At 40.4% G+C, this 24,901-nt stretch overlaps 1 protein-coding gene across 4 annotated transcripts in view, besides 3 other annotated features; it reads left to right on the forward strand.

Annotated features, from left to right (window-relative positions):
* The window catches only part of CTTNBP2NL (CTTNBP2 N-terminal like), a 70,078-nt gene that overhangs the window by 2,933 nt on the left and 42,244 nt on the right, over window positions 1–24,901 (forward strand). Inside the window, exons 1-3 of one of the 4 annotated variants that reach the window (XM_011541781.3) lie at window positions 2,195–2,566; window positions 18,175–18,298; window positions 22,138–22,245. In XM_011541781.3, coding sequence (XP_011540083.1) covers window positions 22,147–22,245 — 99 coding nt within the window. In that variant the 5' untranslated portion in view covers window positions 2,195–2,566; window positions 18,175–18,298; window positions 22,138–22,146. Of the gene's footprint in view, window positions 1–2,194; window positions 2,567–17,687; window positions 17,837–18,174; window positions 18,299–22,137; window positions 22,246–24,901 lie in introns of those variants that run through there. The other 3 variants (NM_018704.3, XM_047425362.1, XM_017001806.2) reach the window with 3 other exon arrangements.
* Window positions 2,393–2,442: a silencer, noted in NCBI's record as "silent region_1195". NCBI's record gives its function as "represses an Ori minimal core promoter by ATAC-STARR-seq in GM12878 lymphoblastoid cells {active_cell/tissue: GM12878}" and the evidence as "EXISTENCE:reporter gene assay evidence [ECO:0000049][PMID:35858748]".
* Window positions 10,456–10,981: an enhancer, noted in NCBI's record as "NANOG-H3K27ac-H3K4me1 hESC enhancer chr1:112947097-112947622 (GRCh37/hg19 assembly coordinates)". NCBI's record gives its function as "activates a minimal SCP1, AML or CMV promoter by ChIP-STARR-seq in naive H9 embryonic stem cells {active_cell/tissue: H9 hESC(naive)}" and the evidence as "EXISTENCE:reporter gene assay evidence [ECO:0000049][PMID:30033119]".
* Window positions 13,734–13,921: a silencer, noted in NCBI's record as "fragment chr1:112950375-112950562 (GRCh37/hg19 assembly coordinates)". NCBI's record gives its function as "represses an EF-1alpha promoter that drives an FKBP-Casp9 reporter gene in an ReSE screen in K562 erythroleukemia cells {active_cell/tissue: K562}" and the evidence as "EXISTENCE:reporter gene assay evidence [ECO:0000049][PMID:32094911]".

The following is a 24,901-nucleotide window of genomic DNA, read 5'->3' on the forward strand; positions in this document are numbered from 1 at the left end:
ACATGGCAAAACCCCATCTCTACTAAAAATATAAAAATTAGCTGGGCACAGTGACAGGCGCCTATAATCCCAGCTACTCGGAAAGCTGAGGCAGGAGAATCGCTTGAACCCAGAAGGCGGAGGTTGTAGTGAGAGATTGCGCCATTGCACTCCAGTCTGGGAGACAGAGCGAGACTCCATCTCGATAAAAAAAAAAAAAAAAAAGAAAAGAAAAACAAGGGAGGAGCTGATTCACTAGAACAACTCTTAGAGTGACTCAGAAGCCAGCAGAAAATAGCTTGTTCTCCCACATCTGCTTCATTGTCAGGCGATGAGGCACTTCCTCATTGCATACACATAGGCAGAGCGAAAGGGAGGAGGAGGAAATGGGATTTTTCAAGTTCCTTTGCCTGCTCCAGCACCTAACACTCTGTATTTGTAATCATTTCAGACATTTTGTTTCAAGTCAATATTTATTGAGTACCTACTCTGTGCCTGGCCCCTCATTTTAGCTTTCAGATTGTCAGTTTTCAGAACACAAGGCATAATGCCTTTCTGAAGTTCAGTATACCCTGCATCATTACTCCAGATTCACTTACACTGCTATCGAGCACCTTCACTCATAGTCTTGCTATCCTTCATATACAGAGATGACCCTCCCAAGCCTAAAATCAACAGGGGGAGGCATAGAGCTGTCCTTCTGGCTCTAATGTTTGCTTTACCATCATCCACGCCCATTCTTAGTCCAGCATGTGAGAGCCAGTGTGAAGTGAGCAGAATATGGCATAAGTATGGAGTCATACATCCTTACTGGAAATTCTTTACCATTTACTAGCTCTATGACTTTATTTGACTTCTCTGAATCTCTATCTTCTCATCTGTAAATTGGACACAATGATGTCTATCCTACACTGTAGGATAGATTTCTCATACAGCACTGAAAATGACATCAAATACCATTAAATGAAAGTACATGGCACAGTGATAACATGATAAATACTTGTTTACTTCTTTCAGACTATAATCGCACAAACTGATCACATCCCTCAGTCAGACTGTAAACTGCATGAGGCAGGCTGCATCTGCCTTGGGGACTGTCTGCCTAGGCAAGCACTAGGTCCCTAATGCTGTCTTGCGAATTATAATTGCTAAGTTTAGGGATAATGTATTAAGTGTACTACATTATTTATGCATTATGAATATTCGTCTCAAATATTTATTATATTGTATTTTAAATAATGTGGTTATTGTAAATGTAACCAGCTGCATCAATCTGTGAGCTGACAGCCATTCTGTGGAAAAGGAATTCAGAAACTTTGACCTTAGGTAGGGATACAACTAGTTATACATCCACTCCCCTCTCTGAGTTATTTGGTCCTGCCTAAGACTTGCTGCCACCAAGATCTGCATTCCTGTGTTCACAAGGCAGACATTCCTTGCATCCTCTGTACTCTCCATTGTTTCAACTTCACTGCAAACACCATTCCCCACAATATAATGAGGCCAAGGAAAGAAAAAAGTCGCCTCAGCTGGCAAGCATAGGGTGGAAAAACCTGCCACACAAATTTGCAATTATTTGACTTCCGCCTGGAAGGCAGGTCGGCTGGGTTTATGTCCCCCAAAGTTAGTATCCTCTTCTGTACAAAATGTGGTTGAGAGAAGGGTGATCTCCAGGTGTTTCATCTTTGCACCCTTGCTTCCAGCACCACGCCCACAGGCGCTTCCAGAAAAAAGAAAAAAAAAAAGGGAGCAAGGAAGCCAGGTTTTTCAACAACGAATTCATTCTAATGCAGACACCAAAGCCCACTTCATTTATTAACATTCTGGATAAAATCCCAATCGATTAGGCCACCAGAGCCCTCCATTCCTAAACTCCGCGTACAGTCAGGTAAAAGCACGAAGCACTAGTCACGGTCCTGCCCAGACTTTTCACGCAGAGGTGGAAAGTTGCAGACCCCGAGCCGGGAGGGGCGCGAGCCCACCCTGAAGCCCAGGACCCAGGAGGGCGCTTCCTCCCGGAAGTGACGCGAGCTCAATCCCGGCCTTGCTCTTCCCAAACAAAAGGGATCTTGGGGCCCCGGGAGGAGCCTGAATGACTTTGGAGAAGCCCCGCCTCCAGCCGGCGCGGATTGGGGCCGAGGCTGGAGAAGCAAGGAGGCGATTGGCGCTGGTGAATGCCAATGCCCCCGCCGGGCGGCTGAGGGGGCGGAGCCTCAGCCGCTGTGGATGGGGAGTGGAGGCGGAGGGGAGCGGAGCCCGGAGCGTCGTGGAAAGGTAGGAGCAACTATCCCTGGGGCTTGGTGATGGCTGGGAGGCCGGGTTCTCAAGAGCAAAGCAAGGATAGGGGCACCGGTAGCCTCCCGCCGCCGTCTCAACGGCCTCTGGGCCCATCCCCTGAGGGGGCGGGGCCGTCTCCTCCACCTCCCGGTATTCCCCGAGGAGGCGGCTCCTCATCCTCCGAGGGTCCTCACAGCTACTTTTTGTCCCTCGTCGATTCCCAGCTCCTCAGAAGGGGCTTCCCTCTGACACCCCTCATTCAAAGGCACCTCCCACCCCGCACCTCAGCCTTGGCGGAGAGGACTCACAGGTACCGATTCTCTAGGCTGCCGCCCCCAACCCCATTTCGTACCCCCGGAAGGCCAAACATCCCTCCCTACACCTGTCCCTGCTCGCCAGGGTGGGACTGGAGCTGCTTTCCTCCGTAAGATAAAATTGGTGTTTCCCAAAAAGGAGGGATGGGGCGAAGCAAAAATCAAAGACCGACCTAGACAGCCAGCTTTACGGAGGAAGCGGCTTCTCCCACTTAAGTTCTTCCCATCCCCCATTCTCTGATGCTCAGTCTTCCTCCCGCAGCCCCTCGCATCCTCTGGCCTCTTGTGAGGAGTCGAGAGCTCTCCTGTTTTGGGACTGTTTTGGACTGTGAAAGAGGGAGAACTAGGACCTCCTCTCCTTCACCCTTTGTACCTTCCTTCTACTTTCTGTTCCTTCTGGGAGCACCCAGCCTCTAAGGGTTTCTTAGGTTTGAATTGCGTTTCATTTTTCCTTTTCCACCCTATTTCCTCCCTGAGAACTTGATGAAAAGCCATCTTATATTTCACAGTGAGGTGGGTGTGTTGGATATCTGCAGAGCTGGCTTTGTGTGGGCAGGAATGCAGTATATGTTGCTTGACAGTCAATGAATAACACCATGTTTTCAAATGAAACAGTATACATAAGTAAATAAGTAGCAGTGGATTAGGAATGAGTATATCCCAGTCTAGGGTGGGCTGGTCCATTGCTCAGGGAGACTGCAGTTAACCTTGAAGGTATACTGCAGGTTGAAACAAAAGACAGGAAGTGTTTGAAGAAAATTCAGGGTCAGTCATCTAGGTTTATGATTAATCTAGTCCTATGTCCTTTGGTAACTCTCTAACCCCTTTTTTATAGTGTCCTCCCCGCCCCCAGGAAACATTCATGTATATTTTGATTGGTTTTACGATCATCTATCAAAATTTAGAGGATGAAAAGTAAGAACAATTTTTAAATCTCAGAGATAAGAGTAAATAAAGGCAAGGTATTCTAGCTATTCATGTTTACCAAAAAGTGCCTCTTCTAGTGTGCTCCTAAAGGTTTTGTCAAGTGGTCTTCATTTCAGCAGGTGCAAAGTGTTGATTTTGACCTCATGTTAATGTCGTTGAATCCCCAGTAATCATCTATTGCTAGCGCTTTTATATATTAAAATTTACCATGTTTTTAGCATAGTTTCTTTTGCTTCCAATCTCAAGTCTACCTCCCCTCTGTCAGCTATAGCCAAAGCTGATGGCAATAAAATGCAAGGAGTTGGAATCACGGAGGGTGATTGTAATGACTGTTGTCTTTTACCTTCTTGATTAGACTTTCTGAAGGTAGACTTCCTAAAGATAATTACTTTTGAATAGTTAGGTTTGAAGTTTTCAGAGCCACTCGGTGCTCACAGGTCTTCTCAGTGATTGTTTCCAAATCTCCAGTAAGAAAGTACAAAGAAGAAACTGGAGGGTGTCTCTAGCAAACGCAATGTGTGCTGCAATAGAAGGGTAAGACGTGAGCTCCCAGCAATAACAGCAGAAAAAACTAAAAGCAGAACAGAAAATCCCAAAAAGATAAGTTGTATTATATCAACAGAGAACAGAAAATAAACTAAGGTAAGAGACTAAGCAAACCAAAGTTGTGATTGCCGAGGTTTAATAGGAAAAAGCAAATAATATTCTTTTATTATTTAGCACAGTAAGCAAGATCTGTTTGTTACACTTTTGGGTCTTGAAAATCTTTCCTTTAACCTTTTCAACACCTGTTTGGTCATGCTAGGTGAAGAAAAGCATAGTATGCAGAGGATAGATGTCTGATCTCTCTCCTTGAATTATAAATTCTTTGAGGGCAGATAGTAGTATTTTTTGTTTTTCATCTTTATATCTTTCACAGTTCCTAGTATATAGTATGACTTCATGAGTGTTTGTTTAACTTAGTTTGAGGCTGTCACCTTAGGGTAGACTGAAAGGCAATGTACTGATTAGATTTGGCACAATTTGTTAGTATAAACGGCCTACTTGTTGTCTTCATTTAACTTGATTTTCCCCATCTTCTGTCTTATGAAATTCCAGTGTCTTAAGTGACTAAAATTTTGAATTTCTTATAAAGAAATATCTGTGAGGCAGGGTGTGGTGGCTCATCCCTGTAATCCTTGCTACTTGGGAGGCTGAGGCAGGAGGCTTGCTTGAGCCCAGGTGTTTGAGGTTACAGTGAGCTATGATCATGCCACTGCACTCTCCAGCCTGGGCAGCAGAAAGAGACCCTGTCTCTTAACAAAAAAAAAAAAAAAAAAAGTTAAAAAAATATATATGTAATCTGCTAGTTAGAAAATACTATTTTACTGTCATGAAATTTGAACCAGACTTAAGAACGTAATGAGTGCTAATCATTTTAGGATTTTATTGTTCTAAATATCTGACCTGATAGGAATGAAGTGAATTTAGGAGAGATCACTAGGGACTGATTGCTGATTTTTGTTCAAGAATAGTTTCTGAGGCCAGGCTTGGTGGCTCACATCTGTAAACCCAGCACTTTGGGAAGCTGAGGCGGGTGGATCACGAGGTCAGGAGTTCGAGACCAGCCTGGCCAACATGATAAAACCCCGTCTTTATCAAAAATGTAAAAAATTAGCTGGATGTGGTGGCATGCACCTGTAATCCTAGCTACTCAGGAGGCTGAGGCAGCAGAATTGCTTGAACCCAGGAGGCAGAGTTTGCAGTGAGCTGAGATTGCACCACTGCGCCCCGGCCTGGGAAACAAAGCGAGACTCTGTCTCAAAAAAAAAAAAAAAAAAAAAGAATAGTTTCTGAGTGTTTGGTTTTGACAAGTTATTGATCTACTTTGGGACTTTTAAAATGGATTTTTAGTTGATTTTGTGTTTTTAAAGTAACACTAAAAATAGGAACGGAGCACAGAACAGCCTTGGGTCCCTAAGTGTAATTATACAGGCTGATTATTGATTGTGGTGGGCATAATACAATCAGTCTTCTCTGGATTTGTATCTTGGCAGAATCACATTTGCAGTGCTACCAGTTGATTTGCAGCGTAGGATTTGAATTCTTGGTTTTTCTGAGTGGAGCAGAATGGTGTTTCTTGGGGGTTTCCATCTAACTGGTGTTTGACGTCATGAAGCAGGAAGCAGAGATATGCTTCTAGAGGAAATTTGTTCAGTCTATGCTGGTTGGCCCCAGGAGTGGCTTATTAGCATGTTTTCTAAAGGCCATTTTAAAATTTCTGAATATTTGGCCGAGCATGGTGGCTCACACCTGTAATCCCAGCACGTTGGGACATTGAGGCAGGCAGATCACCTGAGATCAGGAGTTTGAGACCAGCCTGGCCAACATGGTGAAACCCCTTCTCTACTAAAAATACAAAAACTAGCCAGGCATGGTGATGGTCACCTGTAATCCCAGCTACTCGGGAGCCTGAGGCAGGAGAATGGCTTAAACCCAGGAGGCGGAGGTTGCAGTGAGCCGAGATCACGCCATTGCACTCCAGCCTGGGCAAGAAGAGAGAAACTTCATCTCAAAAAATAAAAAATTAACAAAATTAAAGTTTCTGAATATTTGCTGCTAATAACTAAAATTTAAATCTTCCAAAGTTCAATTTAAAGCCTTTTAGTGAGAAAATGGCTTACTTATCATGAGCCTGGAGAATGTAATTATTTACAACACAGACTTTAAAGGCAAACCTAGGTTCAAATCCCAACTGTGCTACTGTTCACTGTGTGATCCAGGGCAAGAGAAAAATTTTCTGTCTTCACCGTAGCTCAGTCTGTTTCCTCAGCTGTGAGATAGAAATAACTTGGAGAGGTTTCTTTAAGGATTACACGAATAGGCCAGGTGCGGAGGCTCACACCTGTAATCACAGCACTTTTGGAGGCCGAAGCGGGTGGATCGCTTGAGGCCAGGAGCTCGAGACCAGCCTGGCCAACATGGCAAAACTCTGTCTCTACTAAAAATACAAAAATTGCCAGGTGCAGTGGCTCACCTGTAATCCCAGCACTTTGGGAGGCCAAGGCAGGCGGATCACCTAAGGTCAGGAGTTTGAGACCAGCCTGACCAACATGGAGAAACCCCATCTCTACTAAAAATACAAAATTAACAGGGTGTGGTGGCACATGCCTGTAATCCCAGCTACTCCGGAGGCTGAGGCAGGAGAATGGCTTTAACCCGGGAGACGGAGGTTGCAGTGAGCCAAGATCGTGCCATTGCACTCCAGCCTGGGCAACAAGAGCGAAACTCTGTCTCAAAGAAAAAAAAAAATACAAAAATTAACCAGGCATGGTGGCACGTGCCTGTAGTCCCAGCTACTCAGGAAGCTGAGGCATGAGAATTTGCTTGAACCCAGGAGGTGGAGGTTGTAGTGAGCTAAGATTGTGTCACTGCACTCCAGCCTGGGTGACACAGCAAGACTCTGTCACCAAAAAAAAAAAAAAAAAAAAAAAAGGATTACATGAATATACACACATACACGTGCACATATCACAAAGCAAGGTACCCAGGATATAAGAAGCACTTAGTAATTGACAGGTATTATTATTAGCACTTGGCATGTGAGTTAAAGAATTTAATATTCAACATTATTTTACCCCTTCAGCATTTTAGCAAAGGTGAAGACTTAGTGTTGGATTTTAGTTATTGATTGGTTTTGTTTTAAATTTTTCAACATATGACTAAGTCCTGAATAGAGGGAAACAAAGCTTGTTTGCATATGTCATGATCTCAAGCATCTGAGCCAAAGATTTTTAGGAGAGTGTGTATCTGTCTTGGAGTGTGTGTATTTAATAATTTTGTCATGCAGATTATCTTTCTTGAGTTTTTTGGTCCAAGGAAAAAAGAAAGGCAAGGGATTCAGCTAGCCGATGTCTTCTTTCTGAATTGTCAGTTGCTCCACTCTAAGCTCTACTATCTTTAAGTAGCATCATCCTGAATGTCATATAAATGGTTTTGTAGATACTGTGATTACCGTGCAGAGTTATACCTTCTGTGAAATTTAAGGGACTTTTAATGGTAATTTTGATTAAAAGTGGTTTTTACCTTACTTTTGAAGACAGCCTCCCCCACTGTCCTCAAAGTAAGGAGCGATGATAGGAACAACCAAAACTGGAGTGAGAAGAAAACATGGATAGGGGAGTTGAGTAGAGGTGGGGGAACATGAAAGGCGGGAGTTTGTGGGTTGAAGAAAACAAGACTACAAAGAGGCATTGAACTAGATAATGCAATGCGCTGTAATATGGCTCATCTTTGCCAGTTATTTCCAAACTCTGCATTTCAGGTACAGAGCCAGAACTTCCAATCTAAATGTGTCATTTGCTGTTTAATGAATCCTTTCTGACTTCTGGAGCCACAAAGAATATAGTTCTCAATTGTTACTGAATTTAAAGAATGCAACCCTTAATTGTTACTGAGTTTAATAGAAACAAGAAAGGAAAATAGGAAAGCACAGGATGATGGGGTGGGTCTACAGACAAAGACTCCTGACCGTGAGCTTCGGGAGCATCTGCGTAGATTCTTTGTGCAAAACTGCTGGGAAAGGCTAGGCTGAAGCTGAAGTGTGCTCTGGGTCTACTCACCATAGAAAGGTGAGAGCCAGGCCAGGCATGGTGACTCACGCCTGTAATCCCAGCACTTTGGGAGGCTGAGGCAGGTGGATCACCTGAGGCTGGGAGTTCAAGACCAGCCTGACCAACATGGAGAAACCCCGTCTCTACTAAAAATACAAAATTAGCCAGGCATGTTAGCACATGCCTGTAATCCCAGCTACTCGGGAGGCCAAGACAGGAGAATCGTTTGAACCCAGAAGGCGGAGATTGTGGTGAGCCAAGATCGCGCCATTGCACTCCAGGCTGGGCAACAACAGTGAAACTCCATCTCAAAAAAAAGAAAAGTGAGAGCCAGGGAAGGAGAACAGAAAGTAGAAGCAGGGATAAATTGTTTTAACACGAGATAAGAATTGTAAGTTATAATGGAGAGAAGGATGAAAGATAACTGACAGGTAAGTTATAGGAAAAAGAAAGAAGCACAAACTGGGTTTTTTGTTGGAGAATGGGGGCTCCAGGGAGGCCCTCATTACTTGGTTTCTGCTAAATAGTCCTTTCTGTTACAGCAGGTGCTACAGAAGTAACAACAGAACCAATCTAGTTCTTAACTGACTTAATGTTTGAGGGTATAACAATGATCTGGTCTAGCCCTATATATCAGTTTCATCTTGTTGCCTCTTGTCCTTAAATTGAGGGCACAGAATAAATTTCCTTAAAAGGCTCTATCCCCAAAGACTTCTTCACTTCTAAACCCTTAGCCATCACCACACTAACAGACTCTTAACACGTTCCTCTTGGGGGTCAAATAACTTCTCATTCAGCCTGTCTCGTATCACAGTCATCATTTCCCCAGTAAACCCAGTTCCATTTCTAACATCCCTGTTTTTGCTAATGGTATCATCATTCTAGTCACCCAGTCTCAAAACCTCAGCTGATCTGGGATTATTTCCCCTCTTACCTCCCTAAATGAAAATCCGTCATTTACTGTAAGTAAATTCTTAAATAACTAAGTAAATTCTTTTTAATGTCTCTTTTGTCAGTCTCTTCCATTCTTATTGCTACCATCCTAGTTCATACATTTTTGCCTCATACCTATGCTGTTAAATTTTTTTCCCGACTACTCTTTCTGTTTCCATTTTCTCTTCAGTCAAGTCAGCCCTGTACTGTAAGCATTAACTTTCCTAAAACTATGCTTTTGTTATGATTTTCACCAGGTTAAAAATGTTGAGTGGCTTCCCATTTTCTAAAAGGTAAAGTCCAGTTGTGTTGGCTGAGATTGAAAGTGCTGTACATTTCTTTCCAACCAGCATTTTTTCAGTATCTGAACCAGACACTGCTAGTGCTAAGTGTGATCAAGTTGAATAGACAGAGTAGTTGTTCAGATGAGTTCAGAGTCTTGTGAGACAGAAGACAGATATGTAAACAGATGAATTGATGTAATAGAATGTGATAACTGCTCTTGAATTACGAATGTAGATACATATCCATTATGCATTTAATTTAATGTAAAAAAATAGCTGTGATATTTTCAGGAAACCCATTTCTCAGTCATCACAAGTTAAAGTTGTGACTTGATTAAAACCTGTTAAAATTCAGTGGAAGCAAAGGTATGCGTTTACCTGTATGCTAAAGGCACAAAAAACTAATCTAAGCAGAAGGCTGGCCTTTTCTTTTCCCAAGTATTGTGCAGATACAATTGGCTTGAACATGTCTCTAAACTGACTTTCCCAGGAACTGGCCAGGCCATCTCTTTCTTTTTGGTGCAGATCAACCTGCCAGAAGTCAGAAGTAAACTTGTTTTGGTTTGTAAATTAGACACGTGAATGATAGACAATGATGACCCATTGGAAAAGGAAAACTTCATTATCCTTGCAGATGAAACCAAAAAGTATGCTCTTTAAGGATGAGAAATGAGAAGCTGACCAGTCACTAACTCATTTAAACCATGCAGCCTCCTGTTACAGTATGTATTGTTATGTCCATTTTATAGCTAAAAAACTGAAGTTCAAAGGTTAAATGGATGAAAGAGCAAGTGGCAGAGCCAGGATGCAAACTCAGCTCTGTCAGATTCCAAAATCCATGTGCTTTCCACTATAACATACTGTCTCCCAGCAGAATTACTGTCCCTGAAGAACCATAGAACAACAATTGCCAGGCTTGTTGTTGGAAATATTCAACTGATACTCAATTGTTAAATTTTTTTTAAGTCAGTTATCTGTCTTAGAAGACAAAACAACATCACGAGTTTTATTTCTGCTAGAGGATTATTTGAAGTTTTTTTTGCAGTTCAGATAAAGTCAGGTTATGGGCATCGCTAAAACACAGATTCCTTAACTGTTTGATGGTTAATCCTTCATACCATACTCTGGAGTTTCTCCCCAGTGTGGAATCTTAGTGGAATCAATGACGTCATCATCCTACATTAGCATTTGAAGGGTTTGCATTCCAGGCTGCCTCTAGAATTGTGGCCCATGAATCATCTTACTGAAAATAATCAATCTACATGTTATTGTTCCCTTGTGGTATTTTACAAGTTATGGTGGCATTATTTCAGAAAAGCAAAAATTTAGGGGACTGATGGACAGATAGACAATAGAGACGGTCAGATACATATTTGATTGAAATCATGTTACAATTTCATTTAAATGAAATAAAGCCATCTAACAAATTATATAGAAATGATTCAGCCGGGTGCAGTGGCTCACGCCTGTAATTCCAGCACTTTGGGAGGCCGAGGTGGGCGGGTCACTTGAGGTCAGGAGTGCCAGACCAGCTTGACCAAAATGGAGGAACCCCGTCTCTACTAAAAATACAAAATTAGCCAGGCATGGTGGCACAAGCCTGTAATCCCAGCTACTTGGGAGTCTGAGGCAGGGGAATCTCTTGAACCAGGAGGCGGAGGTTGCGGTGAGGCCGAGGTTGCGGTGAGCCGAGGTTGCGCCATTGCACTCCAGGCTGGGCAACAAGAGCAAAACTCCATCTCAAAAAAAACAAACAAAAAAAATGTAATGTTTCAGTTTCCTGGTAATAATATTCTGATGTTAAAAGACATATCTTTTTTAAAATGTTCAATGATAAAAAATTTATTAATATAAAAGTTGTTATTCATTTTCATTAACATCCATTCCAGTAGCTTAACTAATGTAGTTCTAGTTTGGCCTTGTCTCAGATGAGAATACCTGAGATGGTGTAAACAGATATCCAGGTAGACAGACCTTTTGTTCTTGTTTTGAGATAGAGTCTTGCTCTGTCTCCCAGGCTGTAGTGCAGTGGTGCAATCTCAGCTCACTGCAACCTCCACCTCCTGGGTTCAAGCGATTCTCTTTCCTCAGCCACCTGAGAAGCTGGGATCACAGGTGTGCGCCACCATGCCCGGCTAATTTTTGTATTTTTAGTAGAGATGGGGTTTCACCATGTTGGCCAGGCTGGTCTTGAACTCTTTATCTCAGGTGATCTGCCTGCCTCGGCATTCCAAAGTGCTGGGATTACATGCGTGAGCCGCTGCACCCAGCCCAGACCTGTTTTTAATAGCTTTGCACTAATGTTCTCATTTGAGGGAAGAGATATCTGAATGTTTGTTTATGGGCATAAGGCTACTTCCTTCTTTTCTTCAATATACATATAAATCTTGCTGACATCATATATGAGAGACAGAGAAAGAGATGTGTACACACACACACTTACACATTCACACATTCACACTCACAGAGAGATATAGCAGAGTTGCATGAGTCTTAGAACTAAACAAAACAAAAACCTGATACCTATTATGTTGTCCCAGAAAGCGAATTAAACTGGATCTTAAAAAGACATGTATGCGGCCGGGCGCAGTGGCTCACGCCTGTAATCCCAGCACTTTGGGAGGCCGAGGCAGGTGGATCACGAGGTCAGGGGTTCGAGACCAGCCTGACCAACATGGTGAAACCCTGTCTCTACTAAAAATAGAAAAATTAGCTGGGCGTGGTGGTGGGCACCTGTAATCCCAGCTACTTAGGAGGCTGAGGCAGGAGAATTGCTTGAACCTGGGAGGCGGAGGTTGCAGTGAGCCGAGATCGCGCCATTGCACTCCAGCCTGGGTGACAAAGTGAGACTCCGTCTCAAAAAAAAAAAAACGTGTGCTAGACCTAGTTCTATTTAACTGTATTCACATTAACAACTCTGGCCTCAGTACTCATCTGTAGAATGAGAGTGCTGAATTAGATTATTGCTGAGGCTCCTTCCAGCTTTGTGAATCGTTGTTTAGCTGAGGTTTTTCCACCATACAATTCCTAAGGCTGATAAAATGAGAGGATCAGATGTAAGCAGTGGTTACCAAGGGAGTCTCTGGAGTCAATTTACCTGGGTTCACATCCCATTTCTACCACATACTAGCTGTGAGGCTTTGAGCAAGTTTTTTAGCCTCTATGCCTCAGGTTTCTCATCTGTTAAATGAGGAGGATGATGATAATGATGAATTTGTTGGGGATGGTTATAGCATATCACCTAAGGTTGTTGTGAAGACTGAATTAGTTAATACCTGTACATGTCAAGTACTTAGAACACTGTCTGGCATACATTAATGTTTAGCTCAATAAATGTTTATCTTTTTTTCATTATTACTATTATTGTTTAAATTCTTCTTAGAAAACTGCTATAGAACTCTGAAGTGGTGGTGATTATTGCTGATAGTATATCATAATTAATTTCTCTATTAAGCATAGATCCAGATAATCTGGTAACCTGGAATCTGCTTTAATGTAAATAGAGCACTATGTATTTGAATAGAGTACTACAGTGTTATAAATGTTGACCCTAAAAAATACTAGCTTAATTATAGAGCTGATCTCTTGAGGCCTGCTTCAAAGTCTATGTTGGCAGTATTGAATAAACAAGCATCTTGATCCCTTGGCACCATTGTAATTTCTTTGTAAGTGCACTATTCATATTATATTTCAGGATAACTCAAAACATCTTTCCTCGTGGGATCCTGAAATTGATTTTCTCTAAAAATGTTCCCAAACCATTCTGTTTTATATAATGCTGTCTATAATATGGCTGGGAAAAAACAGACTGATAAGGCAAAATAAGGCATTCTGAGAAATACTGTGTTGTAGTGCTGTCATGGTAAGAGGAAGGCTTAGATCCCCCTTACCTACAATTCAATTAGATCCAGTTGTTCTAATCATCTGTCAAAGTAGTAAGTGGTTAACATGTTGTGTGAGTTTGCTAGGGCTGCTATAACAAAGTACCACAGATGGGGTGGCTTAAAAAATAGAAATTTATTTTTTCACAATTCTGGAGCCTAGAAGTCTGAGATCAATGTGTGGGCAAGATTGGTTTCTTCTGAGGCGTCTCTCCTTGGCTTATAAAGATGGCTGTCTTCACATTGTCTTAACTCTGACCCGTCTATATCTCTATTTCCTCTTCTTATAAAACACCAGTCATATTGGATTAGAGCCCACCCTAATGACCTCATTTTAACTTAATTATCTCTTTAGAGATCCTGTTTCCAAAATCAGTCACATTTTGAGGTACTGGGGCTTAGGACTTCAACATATGAATTTTGGGAGGTACAAGTCAGCCTGTGTTATGTGTATTTAACACATGTATTATAGTAATCCAAATATTCCAGTAATATCTTTCACCTTCATCTGAGAGAAGCTTGATTTGAGATATATACTGTTTAATATTGGAATTGAATAAAATGAGATCAGTTATTATACCTTGATTTTAGAACTTTTGTAAATAGTAACAAAAACGGCTTTCTTTTTTCTTTCTTTTTTTTTTTTTTTTTTTTTTGAGGCAGGGTCTCGCTGTATTGCCCGGGCTGGAGTGCAGTGACGTAATCTTGCCTCACTGCAACCTCCACCACCCGGGCTCACGCAATTCTCCTGCCTCAGCCTACCAAGTAGCTGGGACTACAGGCACACATGCCACCATGCCTGGCTAATTTTTGCATTTTTTGTAGGGACAGGATTTTGCCATGTTGTCCAGGCTGGTCTCAAACTTCTGAGCTCAGGTGATTTGCCGGCCTCAGCCTCCCAAAGTGTTGGGATTACAGGTGTGAGCCACGCCCTTCAAAAACAGCTTTCTTTAACAAATGTACAAAAGATCTGCTTTCTTAATCAAAAAATTACTTTCTTTCTTTTTTTTTTAATTTTTTTTTTTTTTTTTTTTTTGCTGTTGCCCAGGCTGGCCTTGAGCGCCTGGCCTCAATTGATCCTCCTGTTTGGCCTCCCAAAGTGCTGAGATTACAGGCATATGCCACTGCACCCAGCCAGAAAATTATTTTCTAGTGGCACATTGACATGTTTTACTTCCTAGCCTAACCCTTAAATGCCAAAGAGGAATGAAAGGGACCATTTAGAATGTTGTCACTCTTTTATCCCAAATGAATAAATAATCCTTCTGAAAAATTAGAATCTTAAATCTTTTGAGATAGTCAAGGTAGTGTGTCAACACCTTCTACCTCCAATATGAGGTTGTTTTGTATACATTTTAATTTTTTTTTAAGGAGCAACCCTATTAACTGAAGCTTTGAATGCATTTTTTAAAATAGCAGTGCATTTCTGTTCATATTCAGATTTAGTATTTGTAAATGTGGCAAGTTTCTTTTTTATTATTATTTCATGTATACTGGGTTTTTAAGAAAAGTACATGATCTAGTGGCAAACTATCAAAAACACCCATTTCACATGTCCATCTTGGCTCTTTGAGTTTTAAGAATTTACTGGCCTCCTATATTTTGGCTTGGCTTATATGTATTGAAAGAGTATTTACGGGCCGGGCATGGTGGCTCACACCTATAATCCCAGCACTTTGGGAGGCTGAGGTGGGCGAATCACTTGAGGTCAGGAGTTCAAGACCAGCCTGGCCAACATGGTGAGACCCCCGTCTCTACTAAAAATATAAAAACTAGCCAGGCGTGGTAGCACGCACCTGTAGTCCCAGCTACTTAGGAGGCTGAGGCAGGAGAATTGCTTAAACTGCGGAGGCAGAGGTTGCAGTGAGCCAAGGTTGTGCCAGTGCACTCCAGCCTGGGCAACCAAGTGAGACTCTGTCTCAAAAAAAAAAAAAAAAAAAAGGAGTCTTTACATAATTGGAGTCAATTTCCTTTATAACTTTGCTCGCTAATCACTAATCACTTTGCTCACCAATACTAAAAACTCACTGAATGACCTTAATCTGAGTCATTTGTAGTCCAAATATAAATTTCTTAAATTTGATAGCTGAGTATAAATTTCTTAAGTTCGATATCTGAGTATATAATTAAAAAGTGATTTTTATCCAGCGTTGCAAGAATGCTCTCCTAGGTAAAATTACTGATTAAAAAAAATTAGTCCAGTTGATTTATTTAAATAGATCTATATAGATTTTTTTGAGGCATTTCTATGTCAGGAGCTATCTAAGCCTCATCTAAAAATGTTGTTTTCCTACCTTATGTGGAAAAACCTACCACCTGGAAAGAAATAAAGCCTCAGTTCTATGTAGATATGCTCACACCCAGATAATAGACAGACAAACATCTTGCTTGTACTCCACCCTGCCCTGCCCTGTCCTGCCCTGTCCTACTGCTTACATGGCTATAGAAGCTGTTTAGGGTGTTTCTTTTTCCGCCATTCAGTCTCTATATGGTAAAATGGCAGCAGCAATGCTTGTTATCTTATAGAATTAAGTCAGAATTCCAGAGCAGAAACTGGGACTTCTTCAAGAAAGAAGAAGCATAACCGAAACCAGAATAAGTGGAGCTCGGATAGTATCCAGAGAGGGGAAAATATCAGAATAAAATGAGCAGAGCCACACCAACATACTTCTAGGCAAAATCAGTACTACAGTTAAGGAGGCACAGTGGGGTAGTTGGGGGGATGCAGTTTTTGATACCCATAACTTCTGACTGTTGGCACAAGAAAGTTCATCTAGAAAAGACTCATGCTGTCCTGGCTATTGGGCTAAGATTTCATGGTGGGATGAAACCTGTGAATACACCAAATGGTATGCTGGGCAGGCTCATTTGAAATCACTTATTGATAACATAAAAATAAGTGTAGGCCGGGCACGGAGGCTCACACCTGTAATCCCAGCACTTTGGGAGGCCAAGGCGGGGGGATCACCTGAGGTCAGGAGTTTGAGACCAGCTTGACCAACATGGAGAAACCCCATCTCTACTAAAAATATAAAATCAGCTAGGCATGGTGGCGCATGCCTATAATCTCAGCTACTCAGAAGGCTGAGGTGGGAGAATAGCTTGAACCCGGGAGGCGAAGGCTGCGGTGATCAAGATCGTGCCATTGCACTCCAGCCTGGGCAATGAGAGCGAAACTCCATCTCAAAAAAAAAAAAAAAGTGTTATACTTAGCCCTTAAATGGGTTTATTTTTCCAGGCTATTAAAATATCTTTTTTAAAAATAAATATCTTTATCTTTTTTATTGTATATATTTATATGTGTATTTTTTATTGAGAAAACTATAAAGCTTAATATAGCTATAGCTGGCTATGCCACAGTGTATGATAATGTATCCAGATAATTTGTCTACAAGTGGTTTTTATTTCAGATTTATAGACTGTAGCATTCCTTAGAAATATCTATGTCTAAACTCTAAGGAAAGTTGGGTCTTGGAAGGAATTAGCTGAGCATTTAGTTGAAATGATCTTGCTCTTCGGAGTTACTGATGATGAAAATGACAAGTGACAGCTTACTTAGAAGATAAGTAGGGAATGAGTCCATAGACTTAGAAATATCTGTGTCTAAACTCTAAGGTAATTCGGGTCTTGGAAGGAATGAGCTGAGCATCTAGTTGAACTGATCTTGTCCTTCAGAGTCACTGATGATGAAGATGACAAGTGACAGCTTACTTAGAAAATAAGTAGGGAATGAGTCTATAGACACCATGTGGCATACCAAAAATCTGTCAGTTTTTCTGATAATGAATATGGGGCTAGAAATACCCTTTTTCTGAATATCCTTGGCCACATAATTCTGCCCATATATTGGGCAGAAATTGCTGGAATAGCTTATGCAGTGGTTTGTGTATATGTTGTTGGGTCTATATTCTTGACTGTATAACAAATTCATACTTCCTGTCCTAACTTGAGAGATCTGTAATTAGTTTAATTACTGATTCTTGTTTTAATGAAGCAACCAAGGACTTACTGCAGCATTATTTCTTCCTTTGACACTGTCCCCATTTGACTGTTAGGTTTCAGCAACTCAAATGGGCTTTCAGACTTAGTGCCTTAAAATAAAAGGCAAAGATTACATTTTATCAAATAAAATTTAAAGCCTATCATTTTTAATAAAATTTGCTGGGTCTAATACACTGTTAGGAAATCATAAACAAAAAATTACATATAATTTAACATTTAACATCTGATCATAAATGTGAAAAATATATACAGCTATAGCTGTCTATACCACAGTGTATGATAATGTATCCACACAATTTGTCTACAAGTGGTTTTTATTTCAGATTTATAGACTGTGGGGATGTGTAATCAGCCTTTATAGACAAAGTCGAGATGCTAAGAGGCTGATTTGTTTGTTTATGGATTGTTGGGAGGTGAGGAGATGAGAATTTTCCTTATATGAATTTGGCAGTTTAAAAATTTCCGTTGTAATTATGATTTTTTTTTTTTTTTGAGATGGAGTCTTGCTCTGTCGCCCAGGCTGGAGTGCAGTGGCACAATCTCGGCTCACTACAAGCTCCACCTCCTGGGTTCACGCCATTCTCCTGCCTTAGCCTCGTGAGTAGCTGGGACCACAGGCACCCGCCACCACGCCCGGCTAAATCTAAGTGCGTTGTGCTTAAGTCATGGTGATTCAAGCAAATAGGTTTTTGTCATTTCAGGAAGAGAAAAGTCAGAAGTTAAAATGGCAGTGGACATCTTAAAGTGGAAAAGATCTCAAAAGCCTCTACCTTCCCTTATTTTAGTTGCAAAAGGGAAGTCAGATTCCTGGTATTTTTCATATATTATTCAACTTCAACTTGAAGAACTGGCTGTTTTCTTCTTTCTTGTCATTATCAACCTGCAGCTGTCAGACCTCATCAGCGATGACAGTTGACGTTAATGGGATTTACCAAGTTGTTTATAGTATAATCACATGAACAATAAATTTCTCCTTATTTTGCAGCATTGGACACATTTCCACCATGCTAATGGCATTTTAAATATATTTGGCAATTTTCCCAATTTTTTACTGAAGAAAACTGTAAGTTTATACTTGAGGACTGAAGTGTGACTCTGCCGATTATCAGGTCAGTATCACCCCTACCTCCAAGGATATCACTGCTATCCTAAAATCTAATGCAATTTTACTGTCATTCTTTTATATTTCAGGCAAAAATTTATTGCAGTGTCTATATATTGAGATTACATTCAAATGCATAGAACAGAAGGAACTGTTAAATGTTAATACTTATAAATGGTGGTTATTGGAATATGCAAAAACAGATCTGTTGGTTCTTACATTACACAGCAGTGGCCTTTCTTTCCTCCTGTGTAATATTTATATTGTGTTCATGTAGACACTAAGCTGAGTTGGTACCTTTTTTTTTTTTTTTTTTTTTTTTTTGACACAGAGTCTCACTGTGTCAACCAGGCTAGAGTACAGTGGCGTGATTTCGGCTCACTGCCATCTCCACCTCCCAGGTTCAAGCGATTCTCCTGCCTCAGCCTCCTGAGTAGCTGGGACTACAGGTGTGCACCACCACGTCTGGCTAATTTTTTTGTATTTTAAGTAGAGACAGGGTTTCACCATGTTGGCCAGGCTGGTCTTAAACTCCTGACCTCAAGTGATCCTCCCACCTCCACCTCCCAAAGTGCTGGGATGGGATTACAGGTGTGGGTAACCATGCCTAGCCGAGTTGGGACATATTAGTGAAATGTTCCAGTTATTAACATTTGTGTGCAGAAGTGATTTATAAACACAGAGATAATAAAAGAATTCTTCTTTGTCATTGACAAGGAATAGAACTTTTTCTTGCCTAGGCTGGACTGTTTTGTAATTAAAGTGACTCTGAAGATTGTTTTAATTTTACTCTTTTATAAGGATGTATATTTATCATAACAGATCAAAGACTTTTTGTTTCATTTTACATATCGAACACTTTAAGTACAATATAATTTAGTTCTTTGTATATGTACCTCTTATTTTTATTTTATTAGAATCTAACAAATAATACTTGGTTTTTACTTAGAAGCTTAAACTAGAACCAAGAAGGACTTCCCAATTGCAAAAGGGCAACTGAAGTTATTTCCGAGGTCATCGATCTTGGCTGTCTGCAGTTTTTGATAGTGCCTTTCTTAAATTCTTTTGAAAAATGAGACAGGATAATAGTTACTAATAATGAAACCAGGTATCAGCAATGTGGTAAGATGTTCTACATTTATTAACTTAATCTTCATAGCAGCCCTATGAGTTAAATATCATCATCCCCCTTTCACAGATTAGAAAACGGAGTCAGATAACTTGCCCAGTCACACAACTAGGAAGATGCAGATGTGGCATCTGACTACCAAGCTACATGTTCTTTCCAATATAACCTCTAATAAAGTGTAGCTTTATTAGGTTTGTTAGAATTTTTTTGTTTAGTTTTGTTTTAGTTTTTATTTTTATTTTTAAAATAAATGTTATCAGATATATCCCTGATACTAAAGTGAACGTCATTTACTAGTTGCTGAAATTCACTTGTTAGAAAATAGAGGCTGGGCGTGGTGGCTCACACCTTTAATCTCAGCACTTTGAGAGGCCAAGGCGGGCGGATCACCTGAGGTCAGGAGTTGGAGACCAGCTTGGCCAACATGGTAAAACCCCATCTCTACTAAAAATACAAAAATTAGCTGGGCATGATGGCATGTGCCTGTAATCCCAGCTACTTGGGAGGCTGAGGCAGGAGAATCGCTGGAACCCGGGAGGCGGAGGTTGCAGTGAGCCAAGACTGCACCATTGCTCTCCAGCCTGGGCAACAAGAGCAAAACTCTGTCTCAAAAAAATAAATAAATAAAAAGAAAAAGAAAAAAAGGCCAGGTGTGGTGGCTCACACCTGTAATCCTAGCACTTTGGGAGACTGAGGTGGGCGGATCACCTGAGGTCAGGAGTTCAAGACCAGCCTTGCCAACATGGTGAAACCCCGTCTCTACTAAAATACAAAAATTAGCCAGGCGTGATGGTGGTTGCCTGTAATCCCAGCTACTCAGAGGCTGAGACTGGAGAAGTACTTGAACCTGGGAGACGGTGGTTGCAGTGAGCCGAAATCACCCCACTGCATTCCAGCCTGGGCAACTGAGTGAGACTCCATCTCAAAAAAAGAAAATTAGCAGTTAGAGCTGAGGTTACATCGAAGATGTTTTACTATGCTTTAAAAGACTTGGACAGCATGTCCTGGAACACAATCTAACAACAAAGTGAAGTATGCATTTTATACATGTTCACTTAAAAGCAGTAGCTCTGGAAGGAATCAATTCTTTTTTTGTGTGCCCCCCAAAATTAAAAAGAGTGATAAATTACTGGAGGATGTGTGAACTGGTCATGTTTTGATTCACTTTCCATAAGAGTGGCAATTTGAAAATAAAAAGTGGAGAGAGAAATATTTGTTCTACTTTGGAAATTATAAAATATATCTTACCATACACACTGGTCAGAAGGCTCTTCCAAGATTGTACAGCAGTCTAACTTGTATCTTTATGTGGTTTGTGAGAATTAGTGTTGTAGAAAGGATTGAGTTTGTGTCATGCAATTTGCCATTTAACATACTTTGGAACATGCAGATTCTCAGAGAAATGTGAACTTACCAAGTCAGATAAATTCAGTTTTTGGTAGCCTAGCCAATTAAGATGTTTAAACAGGCCTGGCACAGTGGCTCATGCCTGTAATCCCAGCACTTTGAAGGCTAAGGTGGGAGGATCACTTGAGCCCAGGAGTTTGAGTCCAGTCTGGGCAACACAGGGAGACCCCATTTCTACAAACAATAAAAAATAAATTAACCAGGCGTGGTGGCATGTATCGGTGATCCTAGCTACTTGGGAGGCTGAGGCGGGAGAATTACTTGAGCCCAGGAGGTTGAGGCTGCAGTGAGCCGTGTTTGCACCACTACACTCCAGCCTGGGTGACAGAGCAAGACCCTGTCTTAAAACAAAAAAAAATAAAGATGTTTAAACCCTATACTTTGAGAATTCATTTAAAAGTAAGTTTGCATATAGTTGAATTAAGTCTATTTTACTATACAAGATATAAATATTGTGTTAGCTATTGTCTGTGAAAGCAGACAATTTAAAAGAAAAATTTCTCCCATACTCCCACCAAACATTATCTCTTTTCCCGAATTTTATTTTAACCAATTGAAGAGGGATATCAGAATGTTTTATATACAGTTTTGGAAATTGGTTATCTAAAACTGGGAAATCTTTTGATGGTCTATCAATTTTTCAGAGAAATGGTATTCATTATAACACAATTTTACCTGAAAAATCAGTGGCTAATTCTTGTTTGCTTTTTTTTTGGTTTTTTTTTTTTGAGACAGAGTCTCACTCTGTCGCCCAGGCTGGAGTACAGTGGCGTGGTCTCGGCTCACTGCAATCTTTGCCTCCCGCGTTCAAGTGATTCCCCTGCCTCAGCCTCCCGAGTAGCTGGGACTACAGGCGTGCCCCACCATGCCCGGCTAATGTTTTGTATTTCAGTAGAGACAGGGTTTTACCATGTTGGCCGGGATGGTCTCGATCTCCTGACTTCGTGGTCCGCCCACCTTAGCCTCCCAAAGTGCTGGGATTACAGGCATGAGCCACTGCACCCAGCCCTAGCGGCTAATTCTTTCTGAGATTTCCTAGGATATTTGTTTGTAAACGTGTCTGGAGGAAATATGATGAAAAATTGATCTTTGTGAGTGGTAGTGAAATCAATAATTAAAGTGAATTTTACTTTCTGTTGTTGCTTAGTTTGTGATTAACACCAGAAAACATATTTCTATTTAATTTCAACTATTTCCTTTATTAAGGCATTTGATACTATAATTGCTCTTATCTCTCACTTTATTTTTTCTTTAATTGTATCAAATTAACTATGTCTTTGGAGATTGTCTGATTGTTACCTTTGTTTCAGGCTTTCAAGATGAATCTGGAAAAACTCAGCAAGCCTGAACTCCTGACACTATTTAGTATTCTTGAAGGAGAGCTTGAAGCAAGGGACCTTGTTATAGAAGCCTTAAAGGTATGTTAAAAGAAAAAAAAAAAGAGGTCATCATACATTGTGAAAGTCATTCATTAGTTTTAATTTATTTAACTAAGGTATTTCTGCAGTTTCCATTGAAATTAAATGGAGGACATACTGATACTTGCCATAGGTAGCCACCTACATTGTGTGTTATTAGGGACACTGGTGAAACCTTTCTGTTTTCAAAATAGTTCCCTTAGTTTCTCGATCTGATGTCTAGACCTTGAACTTCATTCTTTTTTTTTTTTTGAGACGGAGTGTCACTCTGTCGCCAGGCTGGAGTGCAGTGGCGCTATCTCGGCTCACTGCAACTTCTGCCTCCTGCATTCAAGTTCCTGCCCCAGCCTCCTGAGTAGCTGGGACTACAGGCGCACACCACCATGCCCAGCTAATTTTTGTATTTTTAGTAGAGACAGGGTTTCACCATGTTGGCCAGGATGGTCTTGATCTCTTGACCTGGTGATCCGCCCCCGCTTAGCCTCCCAAAGTGCTGAAATTACAGGTGTGAGCCACCACGCCCGGCAGAATTTCATTCTTTTAGTTTAGTGGCCCTTAGCTGTTTTTGAACGCTGACCCCTTTGAGACTTGATAAGAGCAACTTCCTAATAAATGTACATACATCCATATATCAAAATTTGAAATATAATATCTGGGAGATCAAGGATCCCATGAAAACATCCACGGATTCCCTGGACCCCAGATTAAGAATTCTTTTGGTAGTTTTAGCCCATTTCTAATTGTCACTGCTAATTGCCTATTGTTAGTCTCACTTCTTTGCCCCATTTATCATCTGTCTCAATCCCTTCATAATTAGGATAGGAGTGGAGGTAACAGCTGCCTCTAATGGAAAAATCAGAGGATGACCTCGTTTTCTCTTTTATAGTTTTACCGAGATAACCTGTCTGCTTTTCAGCCTTAGAAACTGTACAAACCTGTAGTGCTTTATGTGTCTATTTACTAATCACTGTATCCTCAGCACCCAGCATAGTGCCAGGCATGTAGATGCTCAGTAAATGTTTGTTGAACAAATGAAATGATTGTACCATTGTGGTGTGTTACTTTAAAAGATTACTATAATACTTCTAAGTGGATGTTGTGAATTACTAAATTTTAAAGCCTCTTCTTATGTACTCTGCAGCACATACTGCCTTCTGGTTTTAATGTTAACAGATGCTTAGATGCTTTTTGCACATGTTTTCCTAAAATATATTTTTTTCTTCATGAATCCAATTTTGGTTACTATAGGCAGTTCTGATAAGTTGAGAGAGAAGCTTGAGAAGCAAGAGCTAAAATTAAGGGAGCATTTTGATATAAGATACCATTCAGAATCAGGCACAAGTGTTGTATTTAGTCTGCATATGGTCTGTAGGTGATAAAATTATTCTGAGGCTTAACTCTGTGCAGTTTAGGTGAAATGAATAACTTCACCAGAAGTGACATATCTTTAAACAATCTATTGTTAGATAAAATAGGGGGCAGCCGGGATTAAAATTGTTTCAATCGTTTGAGAAAAGTAACTGCCATAGCATTCTTTAAACTGAAGTATCATTTTATTTATGGAGTTTTGGGGGGTTTTTTGTTGTTATTTGTTTTGGTTCTCCAATGTATCAGGATTTTACTGCATTATTTGTATCGTTTTTGCTTAACAATAAACACCTGTTGGACTTTATGAACTACTATGGCAACTTACCAATTTTCTTCCTTTTAATATTGGTTCTTAATTGATGCTTAGTCGGTTGAAAAGGTTTTGGTCTTTGTTCTAAATAGTTATGATTTGTTTTTCTTTTCTGTTTTGTCTCCAGTAAAAAAAAGCTTATCTTTTTATTTTCTCCCTAGCTTCAAAATAGATTTTTGTCTGGACATAAAATCTGTTCTTTAATCTTATATCTCTAAACAAAACCATATGGCTTACTGTCACTTCTTTGGCAAGGCTTGAGTTTCTTTCAGGATATGTTGTAAAGTTCCCATAGGCTGTAAGTTGACCTCACCTATAGAGTTAGAATTGTAAAAGAGCTACATTCCTATTCCAAAATTTCTGCAAAGTGCCAGATTGCAGCTATACTCTTCTAGAGCCCCCCATAATTACGTTCTTTTTCTTCCCAGAATCCTCCTCACTCACTCTCTATTGCAGCCAAGACATGTTTGGCATAGAACCAGGGAAAGCCAATAGAAAATAATGTAACACATTATTCAGTGTCTTGTATATTTCAAATCTAATTGTTATGGAGGGGACCTATACTATATTTGGTCCTAATTAAATTTTATTTAAAGTGGTTTTCTGTTTTAGAAGGAATCATGTCAGAAAAAAAAAAACTTCTTTATGAACGTCTTTCCCTTTTATTACTTTAATTTCATGAATAAGAACACCAAAGGAATACCCTCTACAATGAAAGCAAATTACATTGCTCATGAACTGTCTGGGGGAAGCAGAGAGTGGAACCACATAGTTCAGCAGGAAAGCCTCAGTTCATTAATTCCAAGCAAATCTAGTAAATGGCTTCCTACCATAGGCTGTGATTGCTTCAGAGGAGAATAAAGGAAGGTTAATCAATGGCCATTTTAAAAAATCTGAAAAATAGATTTGACTGCTAATAAAATTTAGATTAAATAGTTTATTTCTGAATATTCCACATCGGGTATATTACATCTGCAC

Source organism: Homo sapiens, chromosome 1 (assembly GCF_000001405.40).
Source record: "Homo sapiens chromosome 1, GRCh38.p14 Primary Assembly".
NCBI lineage: Eukaryota > Metazoa > Chordata > Mammalia > Primates > Hominidae > Homo > Homo sapiens.